The 27,911-nt window shown below is 64.0% G+C and overlaps 1 protein-coding gene, 1 long non-coding RNA gene and 1 other non-coding gene across 5 annotated transcripts in view, besides 1 other annotated feature; 1 reads left to right on the top strand and 2 right to left on the bottom strand.

Moving 5' to 3' along the window:
* Window positions 1-27,911, bottom strand: part of NOTCH1 (notch receptor 1) — a 51,616-nt gene that overhangs the window by 3,261 nt on the left and 20,444 nt on the right. Inside the window, exons 3-33 of one of the 2 annotated variants that reach the window (NM_017617.5) lie at window positions 26,024-26,286; window positions 25,157-25,495; window positions 21,750-21,872; window positions 20,898-21,131; window positions 20,444-20,599; window positions 20,059-20,244; window positions 19,579-19,692; window positions 18,288-18,401; window positions 17,790-18,023; window positions 17,597-17,707; window positions 16,817-17,009; window positions 15,699-15,844; window positions 15,328-15,441; window positions 13,459-13,578; window positions 12,960-13,112; window positions 12,040-12,268; window positions 11,177-11,378; window positions 10,539-10,692; window positions 10,262-10,446; window positions 9,612-9,744; window positions 9,023-9,280; window positions 8,834-8,946; window positions 7,617-8,188; window positions 6,980-7,411; window positions 5,489-5,637; window positions 4,579-4,795; window positions 4,308-4,395; window positions 4,055-4,220; window positions 2,859-3,154; window positions 1,419-1,566; window positions 1,206-1,303 (exon numbers count right to left, since the gene is read on the bottom strand). In NM_017617.5, coding sequence (NP_060087.3) covers window positions 1,206-1,303; window positions 1,419-1,566; window positions 2,859-3,154; window positions 4,055-4,220; window positions 4,308-4,395; window positions 4,579-4,795; window positions 5,489-5,637; window positions 6,980-7,411; window positions 7,617-8,188; window positions 8,834-8,946; window positions 9,023-9,280; window positions 9,612-9,744; window positions 10,262-10,446; window positions 10,539-10,692; window positions 11,177-11,378; window positions 12,040-12,268; window positions 12,960-13,112; window positions 13,459-13,578; window positions 15,328-15,441; window positions 15,699-15,844; window positions 16,817-17,009; window positions 17,597-17,707; window positions 17,790-18,023; window positions 18,288-18,401; window positions 19,579-19,692; window positions 20,059-20,244; window positions 20,444-20,599; window positions 20,898-21,131; window positions 21,750-21,872; window positions 25,157-25,495; window positions 26,024-26,286 — 6,040 coding nt within the window. The remainder of the gene's footprint in view (window positions 1-1,205; window positions 1,304-1,418; window positions 1,567-2,858; window positions 3,155-4,054; window positions 4,221-4,307; window positions 4,396-4,578; window positions 4,796-5,488; window positions 5,638-6,979; window positions 7,412-7,616; window positions 8,189-8,833; window positions 8,947-9,022; window positions 9,281-9,611; window positions 9,745-10,261; window positions 10,447-10,538; window positions 10,693-11,176; window positions 11,379-12,039; window positions 12,269-12,959; window positions 13,113-13,458; window positions 13,579-15,327; window positions 15,442-15,698; window positions 15,845-16,816; window positions 17,010-17,596; window positions 17,708-17,789; window positions 18,024-18,287; window positions 18,402-19,578; window positions 19,693-20,058; window positions 20,245-20,443; window positions 20,600-20,897; window positions 21,132-21,749; window positions 21,873-25,156; window positions 25,496-26,023; window positions 26,287-27,911) is intronic. The other variant, XM_011518717.3, reaches the window with a different exon arrangement.
* Window positions 447-1,646: an enhancer, noted in NCBI's record as "BRD4-independent group 4 enhancer chr9:139392592-139393791 (GRCh37/hg19 assembly coordinates)". NCBI's record gives its function as "activates an origin of replication core promoter dependent on BRD2, P300/CBP, MED14 and CDK7 cofactors, and independent of BRD4, by STARR-seq in HCT116 cells {active_cell/tissue: HCT116}" and the evidence as "EXISTENCE:reporter gene assay evidence [ECO:0000049][PMID:35650434]".
* On the top strand, window positions 11,780-27,884 carry LOC124902310 (uncharacterized). 2 transcript variants are annotated; one of them, XR_007061865.1, is made up of 3 exons: window positions 11,780-12,286; window positions 25,625-25,740; window positions 27,405-27,884. It is a non-coding gene; the product is annotated as an uncharacterized LOC124902310 (long non-coding RNA). The 2 variants fall into 2 exon arrangements; XR_007061864.1 differs by lacking the exons at window positions 25,625-25,740; window positions 27,405-27,884 and adding an exon at window positions 13,337-15,048.
* Window positions 21,875-21,933, bottom strand: MIR4673 (microRNA 4673). The gene has a single exon (NR_039820.1). It is a non-coding gene; the product is annotated as a microRNA 4673 (primary transcript).

Genomic DNA, 27,911 nt, shown 5'->3' on the forward strand with positions numbered 1-27,911 from the left:
CCACCCCAGCGTCCTGCAACCACCTAGCCTGACTCTTGTTAAATGTTAAGGCTTTGATACATCTTCTGAAACCCACCCAGAGAGGGGATCTGTGCAGTCCTCTACCCTAGATCAGCGGGGCTCCACCTCTATGGGGGGGTCACAGACCCCACTGAAAATCTAACCAACTGCAGGCCCTCTTCCCTGCCCCCAATAAGGCACAAAAGGAAATTCCTGGAGCGGTTCAGAGGCACCGGCGAGGGCACCAGGGAGGGAGCTCGTCATCTGGACGGCCATCAAGCCACCCTGGTGGCCACCAAGCTCCTTCCTGGGGTCTCCTCTGTGCGGTGGACACGTCACAGGTCTGGGTGAGGCTGCTGTGTGGGAGTGGGAAGGGGCTTCCCAGGCCTTGATGCCCTCTGGGGCCCAGTCTCTGTGGGGCCATGCTGCCACGGACTGGGGAGCGCCTGGGCCAACATGCCCCGGTGCCCAGGCCCGCTGTGTGCCCTCACCCAGGAGGGAGAGACGCCTGAGCCTGACATGCCAAGGGGGCAGCAGGAGTTGGGGGCGGGGGTGGGGGTTCTGGCGGCAGGGAGGTGGGGGTGTCTGCACCTGTGCCCTGAGCACCCAGGGGAAACCAACAGCAGCTGCAGGGCCAGGAGCTGCAGGGCCAGGATGAGGGCTGGGGGTGGCTCCCCTTGGATATAGTCCTGAGACTTCTTCCTCTGAGCCTTGAGGTCCTTGGCCTTGGTGAACACACCAAGAGGCCCCGCCCCGCAGGGAGCTGCCGCCACGCGTGTTCTGGCTCAATCTGCACCACCTGCGTCACCACATTCCCATCCCCACCCCCGCCTGGTGACAGCTGGGGACAGAAGGTGAGGTCCAGGTGACGGTGACACAGCAGTGGCAGCAGCAGCGTTCCCCACGCCAGGCTGTGTGCCCCGCCATGACTGCCGCCCAGGAGGGTAGGGCTGGGTCTGAGGGGCGAGCCGCCGTGTCCTGACAGCTGGACCTGCACTTGGAAGGGCTCCATAAACGGGGGCTGAAGGAAGGCAGGAGCACTAACGAGGTGCCCGCATCATGCGGGTGGGGCCCACATGCGGGCCCAGCGACCCTCGAGACCCTGTGGGTCAGGCCCTTGTGTCCCTGCGCCCCGTGGGTTTGGCCCTCACTTCTCTGTGGATTCAGCCCTCACGTCTCCCCTGGCATCCCAGCCTCGCGCTCACCCTGTTGTTCTGCATATCTTTGTTAGCCCCGTTCTTCAGGAGCACAACTGCGGCATCCACATTGTTCACGGCGGCGGCCCAGTGCAGGGCGGACTTGCCTGCGTGAAAGAAGCAGATGGGGTAGGTTGGAGACCAGCTGGAGGCAACCCAGTCCCACCCGTCCCTGTGGCGGTCCCGCCCCACGACAGAGCAGCCGTGCCCCCGTGGGCTCACCCAGGTCATCTACGGCGTTGACGTCGGCGTGTGAGTTGATGAGGTCCTCCAGCATGCCCTCCACGGCCAGGCGGGCAGCCAGGATCAGTGGCGTCGTGCCATCATGCATGCGGGCATCCAGGTCTGTGGCTCGGTTCCGGATCAGGATCTGGGCAACAGGGAGAGGCTCAGGCGGGTGCTGGGCAGACGTACACCGATGCCTCCTGCCCAGAACGAACGCCTGGACGGGAAGCCCCACTGTCTTCCGGACACAGACGAGACCCTCCTGAGATCGGCACGGCCGGGCAAGACGAAACGCCATGGGGCTGCCCCTGAGGAGGGGCCCGGATGGGGGCAGGGGCTGTGCTGCCCACAGACAGGCCCCTTGGTGACAGTGGGATCCATCGTGACCACGTGTGGCCTCATTTAATCCTCACTGTGGTCCTAGCTGCCATGACCACCTACAAAACAGAGAGGTCAAGTCCCTGCCCCCAACGGCGGTTACAGCTGGCACTCAGGAAGCCGGGCTCACGGCCCTACAGCCGTCTCAGAACCGCCGAGCTAGTGTCCGGCTCTGCCCAGAGAGGGGGTGGGCAGCCCTTGTAATGCAGCCGGGTCTTGGCATCTGGCAGGAGGAATGGCCCCTGCTCACTGGCGGGTGCAAAAGGCAACTTGGCCTGATTCCTGCAAAGCACCTGGGAACTTCCACATCTGTGCAAAGAAGGCAGCTGAGAGAGGCACACACCAAACCCGCACGGGGCTCCCTTCCACGCTCTTTCTGCTCACCTACATTTATTTCTGCGAGATGACAATGTGTCACCTGAGCTAAGAAATCAGGAAATGAGAAGCTCTGTGGTAACTCCCCGGGCTGTGCCCATCTGAACCTGCTTGCTCCAGGGCCGCCTGGAGCCTGGGGACTCGCAGCAGGGGTGACTGCAAAGGCAGCCCCTGCCAGGGACACTCCCTGGAGACCCAGGCATCCAAATCCCTAAATCCATTCTTGCCACGAGCTCACCGGCAAGCTGAGCCCTAGGTCTGCAGGCACCGAGCGGCAGCCTCTAAACCCTGCTTCTCACTGCCACAGGCTACGCCGGCAGCCAAGGTTGAGGGAGGGGCGGGGCTGCGAGGGGCTGCAGCAGTGGAACCTGGACCTTGAGCAAGGCCCACAACCCTGATGGAGCCTGTTTTGCTGGGGGTGGGGAGGTGCTGCCTCACTCAGCAGATCCCCCAGGCCTCCTGCCAGACCCGCCTCTGCCTGACTTCCCTGGAGAACACAGATGGGCCCGACGCCCTCCCCCTCGCACCTCGCTGACTGCGAAGGTCCCAGGTGGAGGCACCAGTTGTCCCGGACTCAGCTGTGCTCGGGGTCAGGCTCCCAGGGCCACGTAAGCCTGGCCACTGCCCCAGACCACCAGGCGGCCCTGAGGAGGGCAGGTGGGCACACAGGCAGCCACTGCCTACCTGGAAGACACCTTGTGCGTCGGCAGACACAGCCGCATGCAGCGGGGTGCGGCCCATGTTGTCCTGGATGTTGGCATCTGCGCTGGCCTCCAGCAGGCGCTTGGCGGCATCAGAGCGTGAGTAGCGGGCGGCCAGGTGCAAGGCGGTCTCGCCCGTGCGGTCTGTCTGGTTGTGCAGGCTGGCGCCCTGGTAGATGAAGTCGGAGATGACGGCCGGCGCGTCCTCCTCTTCCTCGCTGTTGCCCGTCTCCAGGCCGCCCCCGCTGCAGGAGGCGATCATGAGCGGGGTGAAGCCATCTGCAGAGGCAGAGACGGGTGCTCAGTCTGGAGGGCCGGTCCCCAGCTGCAGCCCAGGGGGAGGGGGGCAGCAGCCCCAAGCTCAAGGGGCCACGGTGTGGATGCACCACCCAGCACTTGGTGGCCCCGTGCACACAGCCACCAAGGGGCAGCTGAAGTCCGCCTGGGCTGCTCAGTGGACAGAGCCGAATCCAGCTTAAACTCCTGGCGGGCAACTGCTTCCTGACCTGCCCAAGACCTGGCACCCAAAATCCACCCAGGAAAAAGAGGACCCCAGAAGCATGCAGTTAGAAAATTAATGCTTCAGCAGGATGCGGAGGCTCACGCTGTCATCCTAGCACTGGGGGAGGCCGAGGTGGGCGGATCACCTGAGGTCAGGAGTTCGAGACCAGCCTGGCCAACATGGTGAAACCCCATCGCTGCTAAAAATACAAAAATTAGCCAGGTGTGGTGGCAGGCGCCTGTAGTCCCAGCTACTGGGGAGGCTGAGGCAGGAGAATTGCTTGAACCCGAGAGGTGGAGGTTGCAGGGAGCCGAGATCGTGCCACTGCACTCCAGCCTGGGTGACGGAGCGAGACTCCATCTCAAAAACAAAAAAAAAAGAAAAAAAAAAAGAAAAAGAAAATCAACGCTTTCCATGTCTCAAGAAGGTTTCAGAAAAGAGTAATTTACAGGGACAGAGTGGCCCTGCGGTATCACCCCAGGAAGGGGTTGGTGGAAGAACAGGAGGACTCCAGGACCCCCCCACGTCTACTCTGAATGGGAAACACCCCAAGGATGAAAGCTCTCACCCCCAATTCTAAGTTTCCAGAGTATCAACTGTACCCCAGCCTCGGGGCTTAGGGGAGAGAGGCAGGTGGGCCACGGGGCTAGGGAAGCCCTGGCTGCTGGCACCCTTACCAGGCCCGCGGACATTGACGTCCATGCAGTCGGCGTCAACCTCACCCTGGGGCGGTGTGGGGGCCATGGCAGACATGCGCAGGTCAGCGGCATCCAGGTGCTGCTGAGTCCACTGCCGGTGGTCTGTCTGGTCGTCCAGGTCAGGCAGAACCACGGGCTCCTCGAACTACATAGAGGGAGTGAGCAGAGCCTGTCAGGGCAGCCCGGCAGCAGGTGCCCGGGAGCCCAGGAGCCCGGGAGCCTCGCGACTCACCCGGAACTTCTTGGTCTCCAGGTCCTCGTCCCCCCACTCATTCTGGTTGTCGTCCATGAGGGCACCGTCTGAAGCGTTCTTCAGGGGCCTGGGGGGTGAGGGGTCGAGAAGTGAGGCTGAGCGAGCTCCCTAGGAAGCCCCCAGAGACCCCTGGCCCGGGCCTGGCGTGGGAGGTGGGCCCTGGGTCGGGAGGGGCAGACTCCCGGTGAGGATGCTCGGCCAGGTCCCACCTCCCACCGGGGACCCAGAAGCAGGGGCGGCGTCCGCTCACTTGAGGCCCACGGAGTCCTCGCCGAGGGGCTCCCGCCGCTTCTTCTTGCTGGCCTCAGACACTTTGAAGCCCTCAGGGAACCAGAGCTGGCCATGCTGCCGCCGGCGCTTGCGGGACAGCAGCACCCCGCAGCCCACGAAGAACAGAAGCACAAAGGCGGCCGCCGCCACGTACATGAAGTGCAGCTGCGCCGGCGGGGGCGGCTCCACGGTCTCACCTGCGGGCACGGGGGCCAGGGGCAGGTGCCCGGACATCAGGCAGCGGCTACGCAGCAGGCTGGTGGCCGGGGGGCGGCGGACTGGCTCCGCGTCCGGGCGCCTCCTCACCCACTCTCCTCCATCCCGCCCTCCAAAATAAGGTCATTTTCTACGCGATTAATCAGAATTGCAAACTATCGCTAAATTCTCTCCTGCACCAGCCGACTCTATCTGGAGACGGCTTTTACTTTTTTCTCCTTTAAGGAAGGAGGATTAGTCAACTTCAAATCGCTGCACTCGCACTGAGCTGTTAAGACAAAGGATTTAGAGGGATTTTCAAGATACAAACTTCAACACTTCACATGACACCGATCAATTCTTCTCTCTCTCTCTTTTTTTTTCTTTAAAAAAAGCCGTAATGATTTTGAAATAATACCCAACAAAGAAAATTCAGGAGGAAAGGGTGGGGAGAGAAGCAGGCACCCACTTTCCCGTGGCTGGACTCGTTCCCAGGTGGCTCCACCGGCAGCTGTGACCGCCGCAGGTGGGGGCGGAGTGCCATTCAGAAAATTCCAGAAAAGCCCTACCCCAACTCGGACGGCAACGCTCACACCCGTGGGTAGCAACTGGCACAAACAGCCAGCGTGTCTGGGGCACGGGGGGATGGCACCCCCTGCAGGCAGAGCCTGTTCCCGGGATGGGGCCACACTTACTCTGCACGGCCTCGATCTTGTAGGGGATGTTGAGGCTGCCCAGCGAGGCGAGCGCTCCCAGGAATGCGGCCACGTCGGTGGCACTCTGGAAGCACTGCGAGGAGGCCTGCACACACTGCCGGTTGTCAATCTCCAGGTAGACGATGGAGCTGGGCGGACAATCAGAGAGGGGCTGGGACCCGAGGCTTCCTCCTCCCCCGCCCACCGGCCAGGGATGCTGCCGCAGGACACTGAGGCCCATGACGCCACAGTCAGGACATGGTGAGGCAGCCTGGGGTGGTGGGAAGCCAGGTCTGACAGCAGCTACCCTGCAGGGGACTGGTGCCAGCCCCCCGACTCCGGCCAGTGCTGATCACGGCTCATCCCAGATACCCACCAACGCGCTCTCCCTGGCCCGCCCTGACACCCTCTCTGGCTCCTGCTGGTGCCACAGACACGTTTCCTCATCTCAGGACAGAGTATGTGCCAGGAGCCCAGTCCTCCCCCAGGAGCCATCCCCAGGCCCTGCAGGAAGCACAGGCGTGAGGTGGGGGTGGGTGCAGCGGTGGTGGGCTGTGTGGTGAGGCTGGCTGGGGGTGAGCTCTGCTCCCCAGGACTGGGTTCCCGTGAGCAGGATCCCATCCAGCCTGTGAGATGATGCTTCTGACCTCCAGGATTGCTCCAAGCCAGCAGAACTGACAGGCAAACCCACCAGGGTCAGGCACACGAAGGGCACAACCAACCTGGCTCCTGGGTCCAGCTGCCCCAGATCGAGTAGGCATGGGCGGGAGCCTTGTGGGGTGCCCCCTGCACTCAAGCTGCTCCTGCCTGTGTTCTCCCACCGTGGGACCCCCCACCCCCACCAGCTCCTCCTCCAACTGCAAGGCCCAGCAATGCCCCCTCCCAGGACCTCCACCTGCCTCCTCTCCAGCCCAAGCCAGGCAGACGCCATGACCAAGCGGCATTCTTGTCTGGGGTGGGGCTGTTCAGCCCTGTGGGAACCCCTGGAGAGCTGAGTGTTTTGTTTTTTACTTCTTTTAATACTTTTTTAAAAAAAACAGAGACAAGGTCTCCCTATGTTGCCCAGACTGGTCTCGAACTCCTGGGCTCAAGGGCTCCGCCTGCCTCAGCCTCCCAAAGTGCTGGGATTACAGGTGTGAGCCTCCTCGCCTGGCAGAGGGCTGAGTTTTAATCAGTGTAGTATCCAGTGCCTAAGGCACAGCTCAATCTCAAAATCACCTACTGGGCACAGGAGTGCCGCCTGTCCAGGGGAAGGCAGTGGCCCAGGAAAAGGGTGTGGCTGTGGGGTCAGGGCCCTGAGCTGGAATGCTGCCTCTACTCCTTGCCTGCGCAGGCCCTGAAGTCCCAGGTCCTCTCGGAACCTCCGTCTCTTTTACCATAAAGTGGGGAGAGTACTGCTTGCCATGGCGCCGGCCGTGAGGGGCAGGGAGGCCGTCGGGGAGGGCCCAGGAGAGTTGCGGGGATTGACCGTGGGCGCCGGGTCTCACTCACCCGCGGACGTCCATGGGGTCCAGCTCCCTCCGCCGCCGCCCACCCTCGCTGCCACCAGGGAGCAGCGAGGCCTTCACCTGGCCCAGCAGGGCGTCAGGTGCGGCCCAGCCCTCGGCGGCACGCTTGATGGGGTGCTTGCGCAGCTCCTCCTCGCGGCCGTAGTAGGGGAAGATCATCTGCTGGCCGTGTGCGTCACGCTTGAAGACCACGTTGGTGTGCAGCACGCGGCTGAGCTCCCGCAGGAAGTGGAAGGAGCTGTTGCGCAGCTGCTCCGGCGGCATCAGCACCACCACCACCAGCGTGCCGGCCGCCAGCCTCTCGGGTACATGCTCCGCACAGTCCAGCCCGTCCCACTCGCACTCCGCGCTGTTGCAGCCCTGGTCGCAGTGCCCGTCGCTGAAGTGGTCCTTGCAGTACTGGTCGTACAGGGGGCTGTGGGGGGCGGGACACGCTCAGGCCGCCTTCCTCGGGGGGCCTCGCACCCGCCGTCCGGTGCCTCCAGCCCACTGGCCAGCCGCGGGGGACGTCCCTGCACCCCCTGAGCAGAGCCTTAGAACTGCATGCTGGCCTCCGGGCCCAAGCCAGGCCACATCCAAGTTCAGGTCCTCCCTCAGCCCCATGAGCCCCGCAGCCTTACTTGCACTGGCCTTCCGCACGCTGGCAGTCAAAGCCGTCGAAGAGGCAGCCGGCTGAGTTGCACTGGCTGTCACAGTGGCCGTCACTGAAGTACTTCCAGCACTGCAGAGACTGCGTGCAGTTCTTCCAGGGGTCATTGAAGTTGAGGGAGCAGTCACCGCCGTCCCAGCCGCACGCGTGGTTGTTGCACTGCAGGCTGCAGACCTTGTTGCCCGCGTCCTCCTGGCACTCGGGCAGCTCGCACGCCTCCTCGATCAGCGGCGGGGGGATGTCGCGCCCGGCCCCACCCCCGAAGCTGTAGTCCAGGATGTGGCACAAGAGCCCGTTGAATTTGGCGGGGCACAGGCAACGGTAGAAGGGGCTCTCGGATGTGGGCTCACAGGTCCCCTGGTTGTAGCAGGGGTTGCCGCCCAGGCAGGGGCTGCTGGCCGGGAACTGGCATTCGGGGCCCGTGAAGGGGCCCAGGCACAGGCAGGTGGGGCTGCGCGGGCCGGAGATGCATGTGCCGCCGTTGAGGCAGCGCAGGCTGCCGCAGGTACGAGCGTCATTCTCACACGTGGCGCCCTCGAAGCCCTGCCCGAGAGGGAAGACAGGACGGTGTCGGGGTGGGCCACCCCCCGCCCCCCCGCCACCTCACACCCAGCCCTCGGCCAGCAGTGCCACCGCTCTCCTCTAACCTGGGAGGCGGCCTGCAACCTTGCCCCCAGCAGCAAAACCCTTTACACACATTCTACCAACAGAGAAAGATCGGGGGTGCCAGGGGGTCGGGAGATGGAGGAAGGGGTAAACTGGTGGAGTGCTGAGGACTTTAGGGCAGGGACTCTCTGCCGTGATCCTGCGAGGGTGGGCAGGCATGTCATACCTCAGCCCAAACCCACAACCACAAAGCCAAGGGCAAGCCCCAGGTACAGGAAGGGCTGCTGTTGGTAACAATGTATCACTGAAATCCAGAGTGAAATTGATGCAAGCTGCTAACCAGGGGAACTGCGTGCAGGGGACAGCCACCCCAGGGAGTCTACTTCCTGCTCCATTTTTCTATAAATCTAAAATGTCTCTAAAATCATTTATTGAAACTAAAAAAAAAAAAAAGACATCAGGGTGAGGAGGAGGATGAAGGCCGGGAGGATCACTGCCCGGTCTGCGCCCCGAGGCCCCCACGTGGACCTCTCCAGGTGTCTCCCCTGGCGGGCCCCTGCCTCCCTGCACCCCTGCACCTACCGCAGGGCACTTGCAGATGAACCCGCGGGCGGTGTTGGAGGCCACGGCGCAGGTGCCCCCATTCTTGCAGGGCTTGCCTTTGCAGCCATTGATGACGGACTCGCAGCGGCGCCCTAGGGGTAAGAGCAGGGCAGTGAGAGGCTCACCCTGCTGCCCCACACGCCCCACCCGCCTGGGCGCGGCACCCACCGGTGTGACCAGCACGGCACTCGCAGTGGAAGTCATTGACGCGCTGCACGCAGTTCTGGGTGCCACGGGCGTCGCAGGGATTGGACAGGCACTCGTTGACATCCCCCTCACAGCGCTCACCCACGAAGCCCGGCGGGCAGGTGCAGCTGTAGCCGCCCACCTGGTCCACGCAGGTGCCGTTGTTAAAGCACTTGGGGCTCCGGGACACGGGGTCAACGGGGGGATTGCAGTCGTCCACGTTGATCTCACAGTGCACACCTGCGGGGCCAGGTTTCGTCAGTGGCCCAAGCCCGCCACACCCCGGCCCTGCCGTGCCGCGTGTCCGTCCCGGAAGACGAGCGCTCAGGTCTGGGGCTGCACGGACACTCGGGAGAGGCAGGTGTCAAGGGTGCCGTGGAGACGCCCTTCCCACTGGGACCCCCGCTCTGGGCCCTTTCCCTGGGCAGCTGTGAGTCGGCCTTGGCCTCACACAGGAAAATGGGAGTTTCTGGCTGGTTCCTGGATGCCTCTGGCCGGTCCCGGGGTGCCTGCCCTGCCCCTGCCCTGGCCATGGATGGCCAACACCAGCCCTCCGTGCAGCGGCCCTTACCCTGAGTGCCCCGTGGGCAGGAGCACTTGTAGGTGTTGGGGAGGTCGAGGCAGGTGCCCCCGTTCTGGCAGGGGTGGGAGAGGCACTCGTCGATCTCCTCAGAGCAGTTCACCCCGTGGTAGCCGGCCACGCACTGTGCAGGCGACAGAACGAGGGGCCCTTCGGCTCAGCCGGCGCCAGGATGCAGTGCTCCCACACCCCACTGTGAGGGCTGACAGGGCCACATGAGCTGCCCTCAGGTCCAGCGAAGCCACGGGCCCCTCGCTCCTGTCAGACCTGGAGAGAGACCCAGCCCAACAGACCCTGGCGGGGCCTCGGTGACCGGAGTCACTGCCTGTTGGGGGTGGGTGGACCCCGTCCCATAGGATAGAGGTGAGGGCCTCAGGGTAGGTGTTGGCCAAGCCCAGACACAATCTAGGGGAAGGGAAAACCCCATCCCACTTCTCAGTATAGGTACCCTCCTTCAGGCTTTCCACAGGCCACCTCTTCCAGGCAGTCTACCCTGATTACCCCAGCCCTCCCCTAATGAGACTGAACAGTGCATGGGCCTATCAGGTTCAGTTTTCTCCACTGGGCCAGCTCCCAGCCAGGGCCTGGTGTGTGGCAACACTCGTGCCGGCCACAACCCTTACCCTAGGAGGGACCCCCACCTTGCAGGAGTAGCCGCCCAGGTAGTCCGTGCAGGTGGCCCCGTTCTGGCAGGGGCTGGGTGAGCACTCGTCCACCAGGTCCTCACAGTAGCTGCCTGTGTAGCCCGCCTGGCAGCGGCAGTGGTGCGTGTTGCCCGCGTCCACACAGAGCCCTCCATGCTGGCACAGGCGGGCAACGTCAACACCTGCGGGGGATGGGGTGGTAGACAGGTGAGGCCCAGGCCCACAGAGGACCTTGATGGGCTGGGACCCGAGCTGGGTGGGCACAGCAGGTTACCTTGTCGCTGCGCAGCCACCTCACAGGACACGCTGGGCACGTCGCAGTAAAGGCCGGTCCAGCCGCTGGGGCACTCGCAGCGGTACTGGGTGTGGGTCTGCCAGCATTTGCCGCCGTTCTTGCAGGGCGAGGAGTCACACCAGTGCACAAGGTTCTGGGGACAGATTGGGGTCAGCTGGGTGCCCGCGCCCCGGCCATTTCCCCGGTAGCTCAGAACGCACATCTGCCAAGGGGCCTACTCCAACCCAGGCTGCAACCCATTCTACAGAAGTGGAAACTGCCGCCCCTGGACTCCCCACCACCCCCACACCAGGAACAGCCTGGGCTGGGTCTCCCTCAGGGCCCTCAGCAGGTCCAGACCACCCTCGGCCTTTGCTAGAAGGAACACTTTTCCTCAATTCCCCAATTCCTGAGCTCCTGCCCCGGCTCCAGAAACCTGGGATTGAAACGAAGGTGCCTGCTGCTTCCGCATCAGGTTCCTTCACCGGCTGCTCAGATCCCCAGAAACCCTCTGCCCGGGGGTGTGGGGGTGACCCCGAGCCGACACAGTGGGACCTGGGGTGACCGTTCCCACCTCCCGCAGGTAGGCACCCACCCAGGGCCCCTCCTTCGGGCACCTCTGTGGCCGGCGCACTCACCTGGCAGTTGGGGCCAGTGTAGCCCTGGGGGCAGGTGCACCTGTAGGAGCCGCAGCCGTCCTGACAGGTGCCGCCATGCAGGCAGGGCTGTGAGTCGCACTCATTGACATCGTGCTGGCAGTAGCTGCCCGTGAAGCCGGGTGGACACAGGCAGGTGAACGAGTTGATGCCGTCCACGCAGGTGCCACCGTTGAAGCAGGAGCTGCAAGGGGGTGGGCAGGCGGGGGCTGAGTGGAGGGCATTGGTGGGTCCCCGCTCCAGCAGATTCTGCCTCGCCAGCACCTCCCCTTCTGCTCAACCCTAGGGGCCTGATGGCCAGGACAGGCCCAGGGCAGCCTGGCTGACCCAGGGAGGCCAGTGGGAACCCGGGGCCCGGCTCTCACACCACGTCACACCTCCCTCCCCTGCTTTCTTTATAAGTCAGGTCGAGAGTGGTTTTACCAAACGCGTGGGCATAGGGTGGTTAAAGTAAATGAGGGAGAAACCAGAAACCGTCCTGGTAACACGGGAGGTAATTACGTCAGAAACCAGGGACGAGACTGACGTTTACCAAATGAGCTTCCTGGCAAACACGGCAAAAAGGAAACAAGAACGGACAGAGTTCTCGTTGTCTAATAGAAGGAAGCGCACCAGTTCTTCAGGACAGACTACCGGCGCTCCTGGTGCGGGACACAGGAGGAGGTCACAATGGCCCTCTCAGGAGGGACAGGTCGGTACAATGAACAATGTCTGGACTCAATGCAGCCAGCGCTAAGTGCCCAGCCGGCCTAGGCGGACGCCTGCATGGTGTGCCAGGCTGCCAGCTACTGCGTGTGGCCCGCACCGCCCGTTCCCTTCCACGGCCTCACTCGAGCCCCGCACACCTCTCTGTGCAGTCAGGCGTGTTGTTCTCACAGTGGATCCCGCTGAAGCCTGCGGGGCAGGTGCACGTGTAGCTGTCCACGCAGTCCGTGCAGTTGGCCCCGTTGCGGCAGGGGTCACTGGCACACTCGTTGATGTCCTCCTCACAGAAAGTGCCCCGGAAGCCGGGCAGGCAGTCGCAGAAGGCCGTGTTGATGCCGTCTGTGCAGGAGCCCCCGTTGTGACACGGGTCTGGGAGAGGACGGAAGGGTGAGTGTGAGGGGCAGGCACAAACCCACACCTGCGGGAGGGGGCCGGGAAGGCTGCATGGCTGGGGACAGCCCAGCCTTTCGTTGCCGAGGCTGCGGCAAGCAGCCCTGTGACAAAGGTGTCTGGTGGGGAGCCCCAGCACCCACAGGCTGCGTCACACCCGTCTCCTGTGCTTGGGGTCTCTCTCCCCACCTGCTCCTGTCCTCAAGCTCCAGGGCAGGGGGCAGCTTTGCAGGCTTCACAGACCGAGCAGGGGAGGAGAGACAGTTCTTGCCTCTGCCTGCCAGGTGATGCCAGCAAGACCCCCGGCTTCTGCCAACCTCAACCTCTGTGAAGCAGGGCTGGGAGGCCTGAGAGCCCTGGCCTGCAGCGGGGCCCGATGAGCCAGGCGGGAGTGCAGGCCGGGCCCGAGCCATCCTCGGCTCAGTGAAGAGCCGTGGGAGGGGCTCTCGTGACTCTTCCGCGAAGTGCAGGGAGGAGCAAGCCGGCTCTGGGGCCCTCCTGAACCACCCTGGCCATCCCTCAGCACATCCCCCACACCTGACCCAACCCTCCCCGGCCACACTCCGGCCTCCCTGGGTGCTTATGGCCAGCACCATGCGCACCAACCCTGCCCGGGGGAACTGAGGCCTGAGAGCTTCCTGGAGGAGGCCAGAGCCGCGGGGCTACTCACTGGGCCGGCAGTCGTCGATGTCGGTCTCGCAGTTGCGCCCACTGTAGCCGGCCTGGCAGTGGCAGCGGTAGCCGCCGTGGGTGTTCTGGCAGGATGCGCCGTGCCGGCACGGGCTCAGAACGCACTCGTTGATGTCGACCTCACAGGTCTGCCCTGCGGGGCAGGAGGAGGCCGGTTGGTCACCAGCGGCCCCTGGCCCTCCAGGCCCTTCCCAGGCTGGCCCACCCACCTACAGTGCCTCTCCCGACCCAGGAGTAGGCTTCCGTGACCCCAGGACCATCCCCTCTCCCCTAATTTTGGCCTAAGAAGGTCACAGGAACTGGAGTTGGGAACGGTGCTCCCAGGTCAATTCCTGATTCCAGAACTTCTCCGACCAGGGCCTCCTCAGCACCCACCAGCTCCTCTTCAAAGACTCATCTAGCCTGCCTGGGAGCTGCCTGTGTCCCGCAGACATCCTGACCTCCCATCCCAGCCCTCACCGGGCCCTGGCCAGCCTCACCTTGCCAGCCCGTGGGGCAGACACAGGAGAAGCTCTCATAGTCCTCGGATTGCCTGCACTCCCCGCCGTTTCTGCAGGGGCTGGGGGCACACGGGGCCAGCACCACCTCACACGTGGCACCTGCGGGAAGGAGACACACGTGACCCCGGGAGCCTCACCCAGAGGGATCTCCCAAATCGGCCACCGCCTGCTGGTCTTTCCGCCATCAGAGTGCCGTCTGCTGGTCCCGCCGGGAGGCAAATGTGCACCGAGACCCCTGAGCGCTCCCGGCTGTGCCAGGACCCTGACCCAGGGAGGAGTGGAGCACAGATGGGGGGACGCTGAAGACAAGCTGCACAAATGTCACGCTCAGAAGCCACCCCTCATTCCCGGTTGGCAGCGGGGCACAGCCTAGGCCTCACCCCACCAGGCGTGCCCAGGAACAAGGACTGCACCAGGAGAGGCGGCCTCAGTCGGGTGGGCTCCACGACACTGCAGGGACCTGGGCCCACCCCGGACGCAAGCCCCCTCATCTCTGGGTGACGAGGAAAGGCCCTGGCCTGAGACCGAGGCCTGAAACTAATCCTGGGGCTCCGTGTCACAGGCAGCAAACGCCCATCACGGGAGGCCAACAAACAAGGGCTGCGATGGAGGGGACAGGCCCAGGCCCCCAGCACATCCTGCGTGTCGGGGCACGGGGCACGGCCTGGAGACCTCCAGGGCCACGCAGGGTGTCTGGCAAAGGCTATGTGGGAACCACGTGCACAGCCGAGGGCCTTTTTCTGCACAAGCCCATGGCCGAGCTTCCTGTTTATAGCCGTGGGGACTGCGTTATCTTCCCTGTCCCCCATTATCTCCCTGGCCTGCTGGGGCGACTTTCCAGGGCCTCTCTTCCTATTGGTTTCCACGGTGACCCGGGCAGGCAGGAACTGCGCCAGAGTTTCCGACAATTGTGCGAAAGGAAGCAGGAAGCGGGCAGATAGGAAGCGGGTCAGCACCGCCGCTCCTCCTGCCGGCCCGATCGACGTGTCTGAAAGGGACAGGGGCGCCCAGCCGTGGAGGGAGGGTCCTCACTGACTGACACAGGAGAGAAAACCCAGGTCCTTAACTTCGGTCAAAGAAAACAGCGTTCTGGCCACAGGCTGCTGGATGTCATGGGAACCGCAGGCGTGGGACCTCCAGCCCGGCTGCCTGGCCCAGGCAGGCCCTCCCTGACCAGGCCCCGTGGCAGCACCCTCTGCCCGCTCCTGGGGAGCGCCAGGACCCCGGTGCTTGTGGACTCTTCTTTGTCTTTTCTAGAGGAGATCATTTCCTGTGATCCCCTTGGCTGGGTTCATAGCAGGGGCTGGACAGTTGGGGGAACATCCCCCTCCCCGCTCAGCCCAAACAGAGGGCTCCTTGTTCCGCTCACACAAAGAGAGCCCGCCATCAAAGGAATCCCTCAGGTCCGGCTGGCGGGGGTGGGGAAGCCCGGCCCCCAGAGACCCCAGCAGGGTGGGCGCCGGGAGCACGGAGCCCAGTGACCCAGGCCCGGCCCTGCTAAGGATTCACCTGCATCTTACCTGTGTCTTGCGGCAGGCTTGCCAGGTAAAACACATGCTTGCATGAAAATTTTCTCCCAGGCATCCTGTATCTTTGCTAATCTGCCAACCCCACCCCCGGGAGAAGGCCCACATACTGCAGGGGCCTAAGGCACTCAGTGAGGCGCAGAACCTTCTGGAAGGCCCCGCCCCAAGAAAGCCACCACTTTACCCTCCAGTCACGGCTTCCCAGGCCGCCCCCACCCCTGGCCCCACCCTCTCCAGCACAGGCTCCGCCCTCTCCAGCACAGGTCCCGCCCCTCCCACATAGGCCCCGCCCCCTCCAGCACAGGCCCCACCCACCCCTCACCTGTGTAGGGCAGCAGGCAGTTGCACTTGTACCCGGCAACGTCGTCAATACACGTGCCCTGGTTCAGACATGGGTTGGACGCACACTCGTTGATGTTGGTCTGGCAGTTGGGACCTGGAGGGAAGGGGACAGCACTCGGCATGTCCAGCACTCCCAGGCACCTTGGCAGGGCCCCACAACAGCAGCCCTGGGCCTGCTCCCCACCCCAGGCCCCTCCTCATCTCCAAGAGCCAGAGGCCTGGAGCTAAGGCTTTGCCACGGGAGGGAGACACCATGCATGGTGCTGGCTGGACCTGGGTCCCGATCCTGTGTCTCCAGCTCCCCAGACTCGAGGGCGGCCCTCTGCACTGAGAAACGCGCAGCCCACTCACCGCTGAAGCCCTCCCGGCAGGTGCACACGTAGCCACTGGTCATGTCTTTGCAGGTGCCGCCGTTGACACAAGGGTTGGATTCACACTCATTGTTGTTGATGTCACAGTTGGTCCCACTCCACCCAGGGTCACAGTCGCACTTGTACCTGCAAGGGGGACCACACTGCAGGTCGAGGGAGGCCCGAGCAGCACGGCCGGGGCCTGGGCACTCCCGGGTCTGCAATGCCCTATGGGCTGGCGGAGGTGCCCATCCACTCAGACTCGCAGAGTCCTTTAGTGGGGGCAGGCTGGGCGCTGTGGCTCACACCTGTAATCCCAGCACTTTGGGAGGCGGGGGTGGCTGAGTCACTTGAGGCCAGGAGTTCAAGATCAGCCTGGCCAACATGGCGAAACTCCCCCACCCCATATATACTAAAAATACAAAAATTAGCCAGGTGTGGTGGCACATGCCTGTAATCTCAGCTACTCGGGAGGCTGAGGCAGGGGAATCACTTGAACCTGAGGGGTGGAGGTTGCAGTGAGCTGAGATCATGCCATTGCACTCCAGCCTGGACAACAGAGCAAGGCTCTGTCTCAAAATAAAGAAAAAAGTGGGGGCCGCAGCGCTTCCCATACCCAAGACTGCGGCAGGGGTTTGGTTCATTAGCGAGGGGACCATGCCAAGTGCAGGGCAGTAGGGTGCTGCGAAAAGCCCCCCACCACTTGCCCGCTGTGTGGCCCCGAACAAAGCACGTGCCTTCTCTGCGCCAAATGAGGGCAATGGGGTCCCTGCTGATTTAAATGGTCCCATCCAGGCAGAGTGCTGCCAGGCACATCATGGGCATCAGAAACACTTGCGGCTGTTACCATGGAAACGTGTTCCAGGGTCACTGTGGGCCTGTGTCCTGAGCACACCATGCAGCCCACAAGGACACGCAGCACACAGCTGCTGGGTGTGGACTGTAGTCTGACTGAGGACCCAGAGGCATGTGCGTCCCCGAGGGGAGCTCCCTGCCACCCAGCCCCGTCCGAGGCCCGTTTCTGGCCCATCTCAAGCTCTGTGCAGGTGCCACCCTCCTGGCAGCAGAGCTCCCAGGGTTTAGGACTGATGTGTCCCCATGATCGGCCCCGCCGCATACCCGTTGAGGCTGTCCCGGCAGGCCCCGTGGACGCAGGGGTTGCTGTTGCACTCATTGACCTCAGACAGGCAGGTGGGGTCGTGGTAGCCCTCGGGGCAGCGGCAGGTGAAGCCATTGATGCCGTCCTCGCAGGTGCCCCCGTTGTGGCAGGGGTTGCCCGCACACTCATCGATGTTGATGTTACACATGCTCCCTAAGGGCAGGGCGGGTCAGACTCCGAGGCCCAGCGCCCAGGGGGTCCCACCCACGTCAACCTCGATTTCCCTGTCTGTTGAGCCGGGGCGATCACCCTTCTGGCCACATCCTTCCAGGTGTCAGAAACCATCTTGGATCACAATGTGCCATGTGCCAGCCTCCCCGGGCACCAGTGCCCACTCAAGTCATCCTCCCAGGGGCCCCAGGGGCAGGGGCTACTGCAGCCCTGACTGATGAGAATCTGAGGCCCAGAGAGGCAGAGGGACCTGCTCAAAGGTGCTGGTGAGCCACAGAGGCAGAAGGTACTTAAGCCTGGCCTCAGGGCTGGCTGCTCCCTCTTGGCCTGCTGGGCCACTCTGCCAACACGGCCTGGGACAGCTCTGACCGGAGACAAGAGGGGTCGGGGGGACCCATCGTGCTGCCAGTTATAGCCCTGGTCCCGCTGCAATCTCTGCTGCAGACCACGGTCTGCCCAGGTGGGCAGCACCAAAGCCCTCACCCAACCCCTCAGCAGCCCCAGGGCAGAGTGGCTGACCTTGACCTCTGAGCACAGTGCAGTCAGCCCCCACGTGCAGGGCCGCTCACCTGTGTAGCCCGGCTCACAGGCACACTCGTAGCCATCGATCTTGTCCAGACAGGTGCCCGAGTCGCAGGGGCTGCTGGCACAGTCATCCAGGTTGATCTCGCAGTTGGGTCCTGAAGGGGTGGCACGTGTCGGTCAGTCCTCAGGCCCGCCCTGCCCACTGGCCCCCCGCCGGCCACCCGCCTGGCCGGCCACCTGTGGTCCCCTTCAGGCAGAAGCAGAGGTAGGCGTTGTCGCGGTCCTGGCAGGTGCCCCCGTGGCGGCAGGGCTGGCTGGAGCACTCGTTGATGTTGGTCTCGCAGTGGTGGCCCGTGTAGCCTGGGCGGCAGAGGCAGGTGAAGGTGGCGACGCCGTCCTTGCAGGAGCCGTAGTGGCAGGGGTCGGGGTCGCACTCATCGATGTCCACCTCGCAGTGCGTCCCCGTGTACCCTGGACCGTGGGAGGGGCGGGCACAGGAAGACTTAGGACTGGCGGCCCCCGGGACACCCATGACCAGACCTGGGGTCACCTGTGCCAACCTGAGGAGGGCTCCGAGCGTGGCATTCCCACCTACTCAGGATTGGGGCTGAGCTGTGCTCTCGGCCTCTGGACCAGGTGGCCCAGACCAAGGTGTCCATGACCTTGTCAGTTTCACTGCCCTGAGTGCCCTGTCCCGTCCCCAGTCCCTCCCCGCTGGTGGGCGCCAGCCCGCACCTTCCGTGCACACACAGGTGTAAGTGTTGGGTCCGTCCAGGCACTTGGCACCATTCTTGCAGGGGGTGCTGGCACACTCGTCCACATCGTACTGGCACAGATGCCCAGTGAAGCCTGGGGCCGGGGAGGGGAGGGGAGGGAGTCATGTGCAACAGCACTATGGCCCTTCAGGGACCCCTGGCCAGACCCCAGCAGTGAGCGCCTGGCTGGGCTCCCCAGGGCACACTCAGCCTGAGCTCAGCCAGCTCCAGCTCTCCCTGCCTCCCGCTGCCCGCTCCCCGGATCAAAGCCCCTCCCCCAGCACCACACGCCCTCGCTCCCACAGAAGGGGCCTTTTTCCCAAACCGACTGGGTTGCTATGGCTACAGTGGAGCCGGGCTGAGAATGGGGCTCCCCTCGCTCCAGTGTCTGGGACGGGTAATCTATGTCTTGGGAGCCTAGGCTTGGGCTGGCAACGCCTCCCTGGGCTCTGCGCCCCGGCCCCCAGCTCTGGGACAGATGGAAACACCTTTCACCCAGGCCCCTGAGAGTTCCTCCAAGTCCGCCCCGGGCAGCCATCATCTCCATTGCAGGCCAACCTGCCCCACGTGGTTCTCTGCATACCCTTGTCGCTGGCGTGCCGTTGGGCAGGGGACATGGCAGGACAGGGCAGGCTGGCCTCCCTCCCAGCATCGAGCCCTCAGAAAGCCAGGCTGGAGCCTCCTCCCTGTCTGGGCACTGCAGCTCCTGGTATACCCTTCTCTCCAGGCAGAAGGGGCTGCACCCAGATCAAGGAGGATCTCCTGGCCCTGGGCTCCACCGCGACCCCTGGGCAAGCTCCCACTCCCCACTGGGCCCTGCCCTTCCTTCGGGGAAGTCTGAAAACACTCCCATCCACTCATGAGGCAAAACCCTCGCTCTCCTGGGAATCTGAACACAACCAATGGCCAGGCCCCCCTCAGAAGGCCGGGGTGCAGACGGCCCAGGGGCAGGGGACACAACCTACGGCCAGGCACCCCTCAGGAGGCCGGGGTGCAGACGGCCCAGGGGCAGGGGACACAATCCACGGCCAGGCCCCCCTCAGGAGGCCGGGGTGCAGACGGCCCAGGAGCAGGGGACACAACCCACGGCCCTCACCCCTCAGGAGGCCGGGGTGCGGACGGCCCGAGGGCAGGGGGTGGGGGCGGCCCTCACCCCTCAGGAGGCCGGGGTGCAGATGGCCCGGGGGCAGGGGACACAACCCACGCCCAGGCACCCCTCAGGAGGCCAGGGTGCAGACGACCCGGGGGCAGGGGGCGGGGGTGGCCCTCACCCGTGGGGCACTCGCACTGGAACTCATTGATCTTGTCCAGGCAGCGGCCATTGTGCAGGCAGGGGCTGCTGGCACACTCGTCTGTGTTGACCTCGCAGTGCACACCCTCGTAGCCTGTGGGGTGGGGCAACAGTGAGGGGGGCACGCGCGGCCCCAGTGCCCCACTGGGCACAGCTGTGGACTTGGGACAGAAACGAACCCTGCCTCCAGCCCAGTGTCCCAGCCACCACGGGCCCCCTGCGCACCCGCTCCCCTGCAGCCCGTGGCCCCTGGCCCGGCACCCTCATCTGCCTAGCACTGCCCCCGTGCTCTGCTGGCCCTGTGGCCTGGCCTCAGTTTCCCCATGCCCTGTGCAGGCTGTGGGCCCAGAAGGCATGGAGGCTGGGGAAAGCGGAAGCAACCCACAGATGTTCCCGGGGCTGCCCCTCCAAGGCTGCCCAGCCTCGACTCGGTTTCCCGCCCTGGCCCCGGCCGACGCACCGGGCATGCAGATGCACTGGAACTCCCCAATCTGGTCCAGGCAGGTGGCGTCGTTCTGGCACGGGTTCGAGACGCACTCGTTGACGTCGATCTCGCATCGGGGGCCCGTGTAGCCCTGCAGACACTGGCACTCGAAGGAGCCCAGCGTGTTGATGCACTTGCCCGCATGCTCGCAGGGGTTGGCACCTGGCGAGGGCACACGGGTGAGAGGCTGCTCCAGGCACCCTGGCCCCTGCAACACCTCACTGCACACCACCCCCATCGGACTGGCAGGGTCCCATCCCCCATCTAACTGGGCACCCCCTGAAGCCAGAATCGACTTCTCATCGGTTCTGGGGCCAGGCTGCCACCCCCACCTGGCCGCACCCCCTGTGCTGGCACCTACCCAGCGAGCACTCATCCACGTCCTGGCTGCAGGCCGGGCCCGTGTACCCCGAGGGGCAGGTGCAGATGGCCTTGCCATTGACAGGGTTGGTGTCGCAGTTGGAGCCCTCGTTACAGGGGTTGCTGATGCATGCGTCGTTGAGGTGGCACAGCAGACCTGGGCAGGCAGCGGCGGTCAGTGGGCACGGCCCCTGGGCCAGGCATGGCACACCACCCACGGCTGGGGTCCAACCCCACTGACACCCCAGGAGGAGCTGCCCGCCGTGACCCCGTCGGGCATCCCGTGACACTTGGGACGTTCCGGGGGACTCACAGCGACCACCGGCCTCCCTGACCAGAAAGGCCCTTTCAGGTTATCCTGGGTGCAGGAGGGCCACAGTCCCTGGGTGAGGTCACACAGCTCAGGCCTGGCCCATGTGAGCCCCCTGCGCCCACCTGGGCCTCAAGGCACTCACCTGTGCGGCCATGGGGACACTCGCAGTAGAAGGAGGCCACACGGTCATGGCAGGTGGCGCCGTGGAAGCAGGCGGCGCTGGCACAGTCATCAATGTTCTCGCTGCAGTCCTCACCAGTCCAGCCGTTGACACACACGCAGTTGTAGCCACCGTGGGTGTTGTGGCAGGTCCCGCCGTTCTGGCAGGCATTTGGCATCAGCTGGCACTCGTCCACATCCTCGGTACAGTACTGACCTGCAGGGAACAGGAGCTGTCGGCCCCGGGCAGCTGCCACTCCCTGAGCTCCCTGTCCCCTAAGACGCAGGGTGGCAATGCCGCCCCCTCCAGGAAGCCTTCCTGGGCTGACTCCTCCACCCACCGCCAGCCTAAATCACTCCTTCCTCTGCAGGCCCAGCACCATGGAGTCTTGCCTCCTCTTTGTGCTCTGTGGACACTGCTGCGTCGGGGTGCACCTTTGCCCGTCACCCCACCAGAGGGTAATTCCCGAACACAGGGCCTGTCTGTTCATCCAGGCATCCCTGTGACTGGCCCAGGAAGCGTGGCCTGAGTGGGGTGCTGAAGGCCCTCAATGCCAGGACACCCCACTGGGCACAGGGGCTGCCTGGAGCCAGGTTGCAAACGGCCCACACAGACCAACCAGGGCCCTGTCTGTGCTGACCCCCGAGGTGAGGGGCACCAGACCCTGGCCACGGGAAGTGGGGCCCCCATCATGTTGTCCTTCTCGGCCAACCCTAGTCTGCCTGGCCTGGGACAGGGTCTCGGCTGCTCCCCGCTATGCCTGTGAGTGCAGTTTAGTAAGTGGGTAGCAGCCCCGCCCCGGCTACCCCGCCCTGCGGCGACCCGTATACGCGCCTGTCCACTCTGGCGGGCAGCGGCAGTTGTAGGTGTTCACGCCGTCCACACAGGCACCCCCGTTCTTGCAGTTGTTTCCTGGACAATCGTCGATATTTTCCTCACAGTTCTGGCCGGTGAAGCCTGCCGCAAGAGGGGCCGGGTCAGCCTCTTCCCTGAGGTCCAGTCCGGCTCCTGCCTGGACCCCCGACACACTGCTCTGGACACAAGAGCCTGGCCTCCACGGCCCTGCCCTGGGGCCCCCGGGGTCTGTGCCCGTCCCCTGCCTCACTCCAGTGCCCAGAGGGACACGCCCTGCTTGAAAGAATCATTTTGGACAGGACTGGCTAAACAGGGACTCAGGAACACAGGGTTCCAGAAGATTCTGTCACAAAAACCCTTGGGTCTCTTTTAAGAGGTTCCGGCAGCTCCTGCACCTGGGTGCCGCCTGCATGCTCAGAGCTCCCTACAATGTCTCCACAGGGGGGCCGCACACCCCATCTTCAGGGGCTGACACTGGGGCCTGGGCTCTGAGCAGCAGGGGGACATGGGGCCAGCAGGCTGCTGGCTGGGGCAGGGTGGGCCCCTCGCAGCCCCAGGGAAGCTGCAGAGATTCAGATGGCCCATCCTCCCTGGGGCAGAGCTCTGGTGCCCACCTCCTCCTCCCCCTCCTCCTCCACAGGCTGCCAGGGCCCCCTCCCCCGAGGTATGGCCCCACCCAGGCCTCCAAGGCAGCCAGTTAGCTATTAATCCACTCAACTCCCGCTGGTTCAATGATCAACCCAGAAAGGCGCGTTCGGCAACAGCCAAACCTGCAGCCGGTTACTAATTGCCGCCCTCCCGAGATGCCTTTGAACCCCCGTTGCCCTTGGAGCTCCCACCTGCTCGGCCCCTCCCTCTGAGACATTGCCCCACCGCCACCACCCCGTCCGTTCTGTCTGTCTGCTGGACCGGAGCAAAAGCAGGCAGCCAGAGACAACCAAAATCCAAAATGCAAATCAGCTTGGGGAGCACCCAAAACCAGACCCCAGCCCTGGCGCGGTGGCTCACGCCTGGAATCCCGGCACTTTGGGAGGCTGAAGTGGGTGGATCGCTTGCGCCCAGGAGTTCAAGACCAGCCTGGACAACATGGCGAAACCCCGTCTCTACAAAAAAAAATACAAGAAGTAGCAAAGCGTGGTGGCGCCGGCCTGTGGTCCCAAGCTACTTGAGGGGCTGAGGCAGAAGGATCGCTTTAGCCTGGGAGGTCAAGGCTGCAGTGAGCTGAGGGCACGTCACTGTACTCCAGCCTGAGTGACAGAGACCTGTCTCAAAAAAAAAAAAAAAATTCAGAGCCTGGAGCCTGAGTCCCGGTCCCACTCATGTGTGGGGCCCTGCACCCCGGCTCCGAGGCAGATGGGGCCCCTGGCTGGGCCTGCGACCCCAGGGCTGCCCTGCAAAGCACTGGCTGAGGCACACAGTGGGGGAGAGGGCGGGAAGCCAGCGAGAGCCCCGTGGACCCCAGCTGGACCCTCTGCGACGTAGCCTCGGCCAGCGACCCCACGAGGAGACAGTGCTGACGTGCCAGGCAGGCTGTGCGACCCCAAATCCCAGCCAGTTCCCGGGCCTGCAGAGCTCAGGGCCGCCCCCATCTCGGTTCCCCGTGACTCCACACACAGCTGTCTCCTGGGCTCCTGACCACCCAGAGGTGGCTGAGGGCCCTTCAGGGGGCCTGGGTGCAGGGGCCGCCGGGGACAGTCTGAAGCTGGGGTCTGGCAGGCCTGAGTCATTTGGGGAGGCCCCCGGATGGTCATCTCACCCTGAAACGGCCAGACTCCACAGCAGGCAGTGAGCACACCCCTCACCGGACGGGTGACCCAGCCCCCAGCACCCCAGCCTCTGAGATCTACCCACACTCAAGTGAGTGAACCCCACCAGCCCCTCCCCTTCCCTCCCTGCCCACTCCCCAGGGCCCTGAGCTGCCCCTGCACGGGCAGTGGCTCTGAGCCGGCCCAGCACCCCTGGCATCTCTGCCGCTGGGCCTCACCAGGAGGTCCTCACCCACCCTGCCCAAGGCGGGTGGGCATCAGCTCTGCACACAGGTGGCCTTGGACAAGGCCGCACACACCCCACCTGCCCTAGCCTGAACCACGGCCCCCCAAGAGCTTGGCCCCTCAATCCGTGTGACTGGAGGTAGGGTCCCGTGCTGCTAGGAAGGCATCTGAGCCCCCACCAGCAGAAGGGCTCTGCGCCCCACCCTGCAGAGATCCAAGCTGGCCAGGGAGTGTCTGTCCCCACCCCACGCTCGCCCAGTGACTTGCAGGAAACGCACACGTCTGGTGTCTGCACGCAGAGGTGGCTGGGCTCAGCTGACTGGGCAGCCAGGGAGCTTCCCCTTTGCAGGGGCCAGGCCAGCTTGGGGCTTCCAAGGGGGTGGGGCAGCCCTTGGGCCACCCGTGGGTCAGCCAGGACCCTGTGCACCCTCCAGCCCCACCCCTGCCTGAATGCCCTCTCCCCATTCCCACCTAACAGCCATTCTGTGCAGCTGAGATTGGAGGTTTTCTTTTTTCTCTTCACTTTTTTTTTTTTTTTTTTGAGACGGAGTCTCGCTCTGTCGCCCAGGCTGGAGTGCAGTGGCGGGATCTCGGCTCACTGCAACCTCCGCCTCCCGGGTTCAAGTGATTCTCCTCCCTCAGCCTCCTGAGTAGCTGGGACTACAGGCGCGTGCCACCATGCCTGGCTAATTTTTTGTATTTTTAGTAGAGACGGGGTTTCGCCGTGTTAGCCAGGATGGTCTCCATCTCCTGACCTTGTGATCTGCCCACCTCGGCCTCCCAAAGTGCTGGGAGTACAGGCGTGAGCCACCACGCGCGGCCGAGACTGGAGGTTTTCAAAACTCTTCCTTATTTTTAGAGCTGCTGCAAAATTTACTCAAACAAGAACTACAGCAGAGAGGCTCCTACGTACAACACGGGGATCGGGGAGCACTGGGGACACGGGCAGGCGGCTGCGCCTACCTGTCACCCACACCCGCAGGAGACCAGCAGGATGGCAGGAAGGGCCATGGCTTGGGAAGTGATGGTGCCCCCGCAGCTCCCACGCCCTCTCCGGCCCCAGCCCCACTGCAGGGGAAACCCTGGGGGTTGCGCAAGTCAGGGTGCCTGCACTGGGGGGAGGCAGGGCGTCCTACAGCTCGAATGTGAGTTCCGGGAAACTCCAGAGACACGGGCTGGCACCTGGACCCTGTGCAAGCCTCCTCCCAGCGCACACCCCGCTCCAGACGCGTCCCCCCGACACCACACGCAGTCTGGGGAACTCGCCATCCCGCCTTCCCAACTCCCCGCCATGGGCCCTCCCAGGGCTGCCCCTACACCAGGCGCCCCGTTCCCACCCCCTGGGCCTGGCAGCCGGGGAGGGGCTCGTGCACCCCGGCCAGCGGGCAGCACTACCTGGCAGGCAGGCACACTCGTGGGTGACGTCGCCCGTGGGGCGGCAGGTGCCCCCGTTCTGGCAGGGCGAGGGGCTGCAGGGCACGTAGGGCCGCTCGCAGTTGGGGCCAGTGTGGGTGGCGCGGCAGACGCAGCGGTAGGAGCCGACCTCGTTGTGGCAGGTGCCTCCGTGGCGGCAAAGCCCGGGCTTCTGGCCACACTCGTTGACATCCTGCCGGCAGGTGGGGCCATGGAAGCTGGGTGGGCAGTGGCAGATGTAGGAGGCCTCGAAGGGCAGGCACTGGCCACCGTTGGCGCAGGGGTTGGAGGCGCACGGGTCAGCCTGCTGGCACGATTTCCCTGGAGACAAGGGGACAAGAGGGTCGTGCTGGCCTCACTGCTCCCCGAGGCCGGGCCTTCCCTCCCTTCAGGCCACCTGGAGGTGCCAGCCTGGGCTCCACCTTAGGTGCTATCACATTTGATCCTCAGGACCTGCCGTGAGACCGGTCGCCTTTGGCAGATGAAGGACCACAGCTCCCAAGAGGCCTGAGCCTGGGCCGTCTCTTCCCAGAGCTGACACCTCCAGACACCCTTCACCCTAACAGGTGAGGGCCAGTGCACGGCAGGAGGAAGGGGGCAGGGGCGGCCTGGACACAGAGGCTCCCCTTGTCTCGCAGAAGCGGGGACAGCAAGAGTTGGGCCAGAGCAAGCAGCTGAAAACGAGGCGATTCCAGGTCTGGGAGGGGGGCAGGGACCCTGGGGCAGGGGCTCCCAATTACTTCCGGGTCAGAGACCCGGGCCTGGATCCCGCCAAGTACCTCAAGTTGCCTGGGCAGCTGGCGGCGGGCCTGGGTCTGCCCACCCCTCAGGCTGTGGGTCCTCCCTCACCTGACCAGCCGGGCGGGCAGCGGCACTTGTACTCCGTCAGCGTGAGCAGGTCGCAGGTGCCCCCGTTGCGGCAGGGGTTGGTGAGGCAGGCATTGTCCAGGGGTGTCAGGCAGAGGGGCCCAGAGAAGCCCAGGGCACAGCTGCAGGCATAGTCTGCCACGCCTCTGCGGTCCACCACGTGGCATGTCCCGGCGTTCTTGCAGGGGGTGCTGAGGCACGGGTTGGGGTCCTGGCATCGCGGGCCCACGAAGGCCCCGCCACAGCTGTTGGCAGATGTGCCAGGGCAGTTAGTTCCCACCTGCTTCCCCAGCGCCCCCGCCACTCAGCACCGGGAACCTGTCATGGGCACAGCCGCCTCCCCCCACACCCCGGGCACGGGCACAACGGCTGCTTAGCGGGGTTCCCTTAGGGCTGATAAAATGTTCTGGAACCAGACACATGCCGCGATTGCACAACTTTGGGAATGTACTGAATGCCACTGAATGAGGCTGAAGCAGGAGAATCACTTGAACCCAGGAGGCAGAGGTTGCAGTGAGCCGAGATCACGCCACTGCACTCCAGCCTGGGTGACAGAGCAAGACTCAAAAAAAGAAAGAAAGAAGAAGACAAATGACTGCTAACTTGGGGAACAAGCTAGAGACTAGGATGTTCCAGCAGAACCCAGCTTGGACTCCACAGCCCGGGCAGGGGTCTGGGTCTACACCCGCGGAGAGCCATGGAGAGGAGCCGGGTGCATTAGCTCCGTAGAGCCTCCGGGTCTGCAGGCCTATCTGCTTTTCTTCCCAGCTTTGCTAAAGCGAACAGGCATTGCTTGGGCAGTAACAAAGGCCGTGGTTTTTCCAACCTTCAGGTGTCAACATGATGGCAGCCACGGAAAGTGTGGATCAGCCCCTTCCTACGTGGAAGCCTTTCTTTTTCTTTTCTTTTTTTTTTTTTTTTTTTTTTGAGTCTTGCTCTGTTGCCCAGGCTGGAGTGCAGGGGCGCGATCTAGGCTCACTGCAACCTCTGCCTCCCAGGTTCAAGCGATTCTCCTGCCTCAGCCTCCCGAGTAGCTGGGACTACAGGCACCTGACACCATGCCCAGCTAATTTTTGTATTTTTAGTAGAGACAGGGTTTCACCATGTTGGCCAGGCTGGTCTTGATCTCTTGACCTCGTGATCTGCCCGCCTCGGCCTCCCAAAGTGCTGGGATTACAGGCGTAAGCCACCGCGCCCGGCCAGGAAGCCTTTCTGATGGGACACCTCAGGCTGAGACTGCAATGGGGATGGGACATCTCATGTCAAGATCGCACTGGGGATGAAGGCTGGCCCGTTCCCTGCCCACGCTCAGCCCCCAGACACGTTTCCCTTTCGGCATTGAGTCTTCATAACTCACATCCAGGCACATCAGCCAGGAGCAGAAGCACCCACATTACAGCCGGGGAAACCAAGGTGCCAGGAGGAGGTCCCTCTGCCAGGTCTCTGCAACCCCGTCAAGGTGGGTGAAAGGCTGCCCCTCACCCCGGACACACAGTCTGGGCTCAGAGAGAACAAGGGGAGCCAGGGGAGGGGTCCTGCATCTCCACCCAGGCCTGGTCTCACCTGTTCCCTGCGGCAACAGGCGCAGAGCCTGCCCCCCCCAGCCACCTGCTGTGGTCATAAATCTCCGGCCCCAGTCACCTCCTGGCCTTGCGCTCCGGGAAAAGGTCTGGGACCCGCCGGGCGCCGCTCTTCCCAGTGGTGAAGCCTCTGAAGCAGAACATGCCACCAGCCTCAGCGGCCCCAGCGGCCCGGGAAGGCAGCAGCCTCACGGCTCAGGCCCTGGGTGGGCATGGCCTCCTCCAGATGGGATGTACAGAGGGAACCGTCCCGCCTTCCGGAGCCCACCTGGGTGCGGGGCTGCGGCGGC

This window comes from Homo sapiens, chromosome 9, assembly GCF_000001405.40.
Source record: "Homo sapiens chromosome 9, GRCh38.p14 Primary Assembly".
In the NCBI taxonomy this organism is placed as follows: domain Eukaryota; kingdom Metazoa; phylum Chordata; class Mammalia; order Primates; family Hominidae; genus Homo; species Homo sapiens.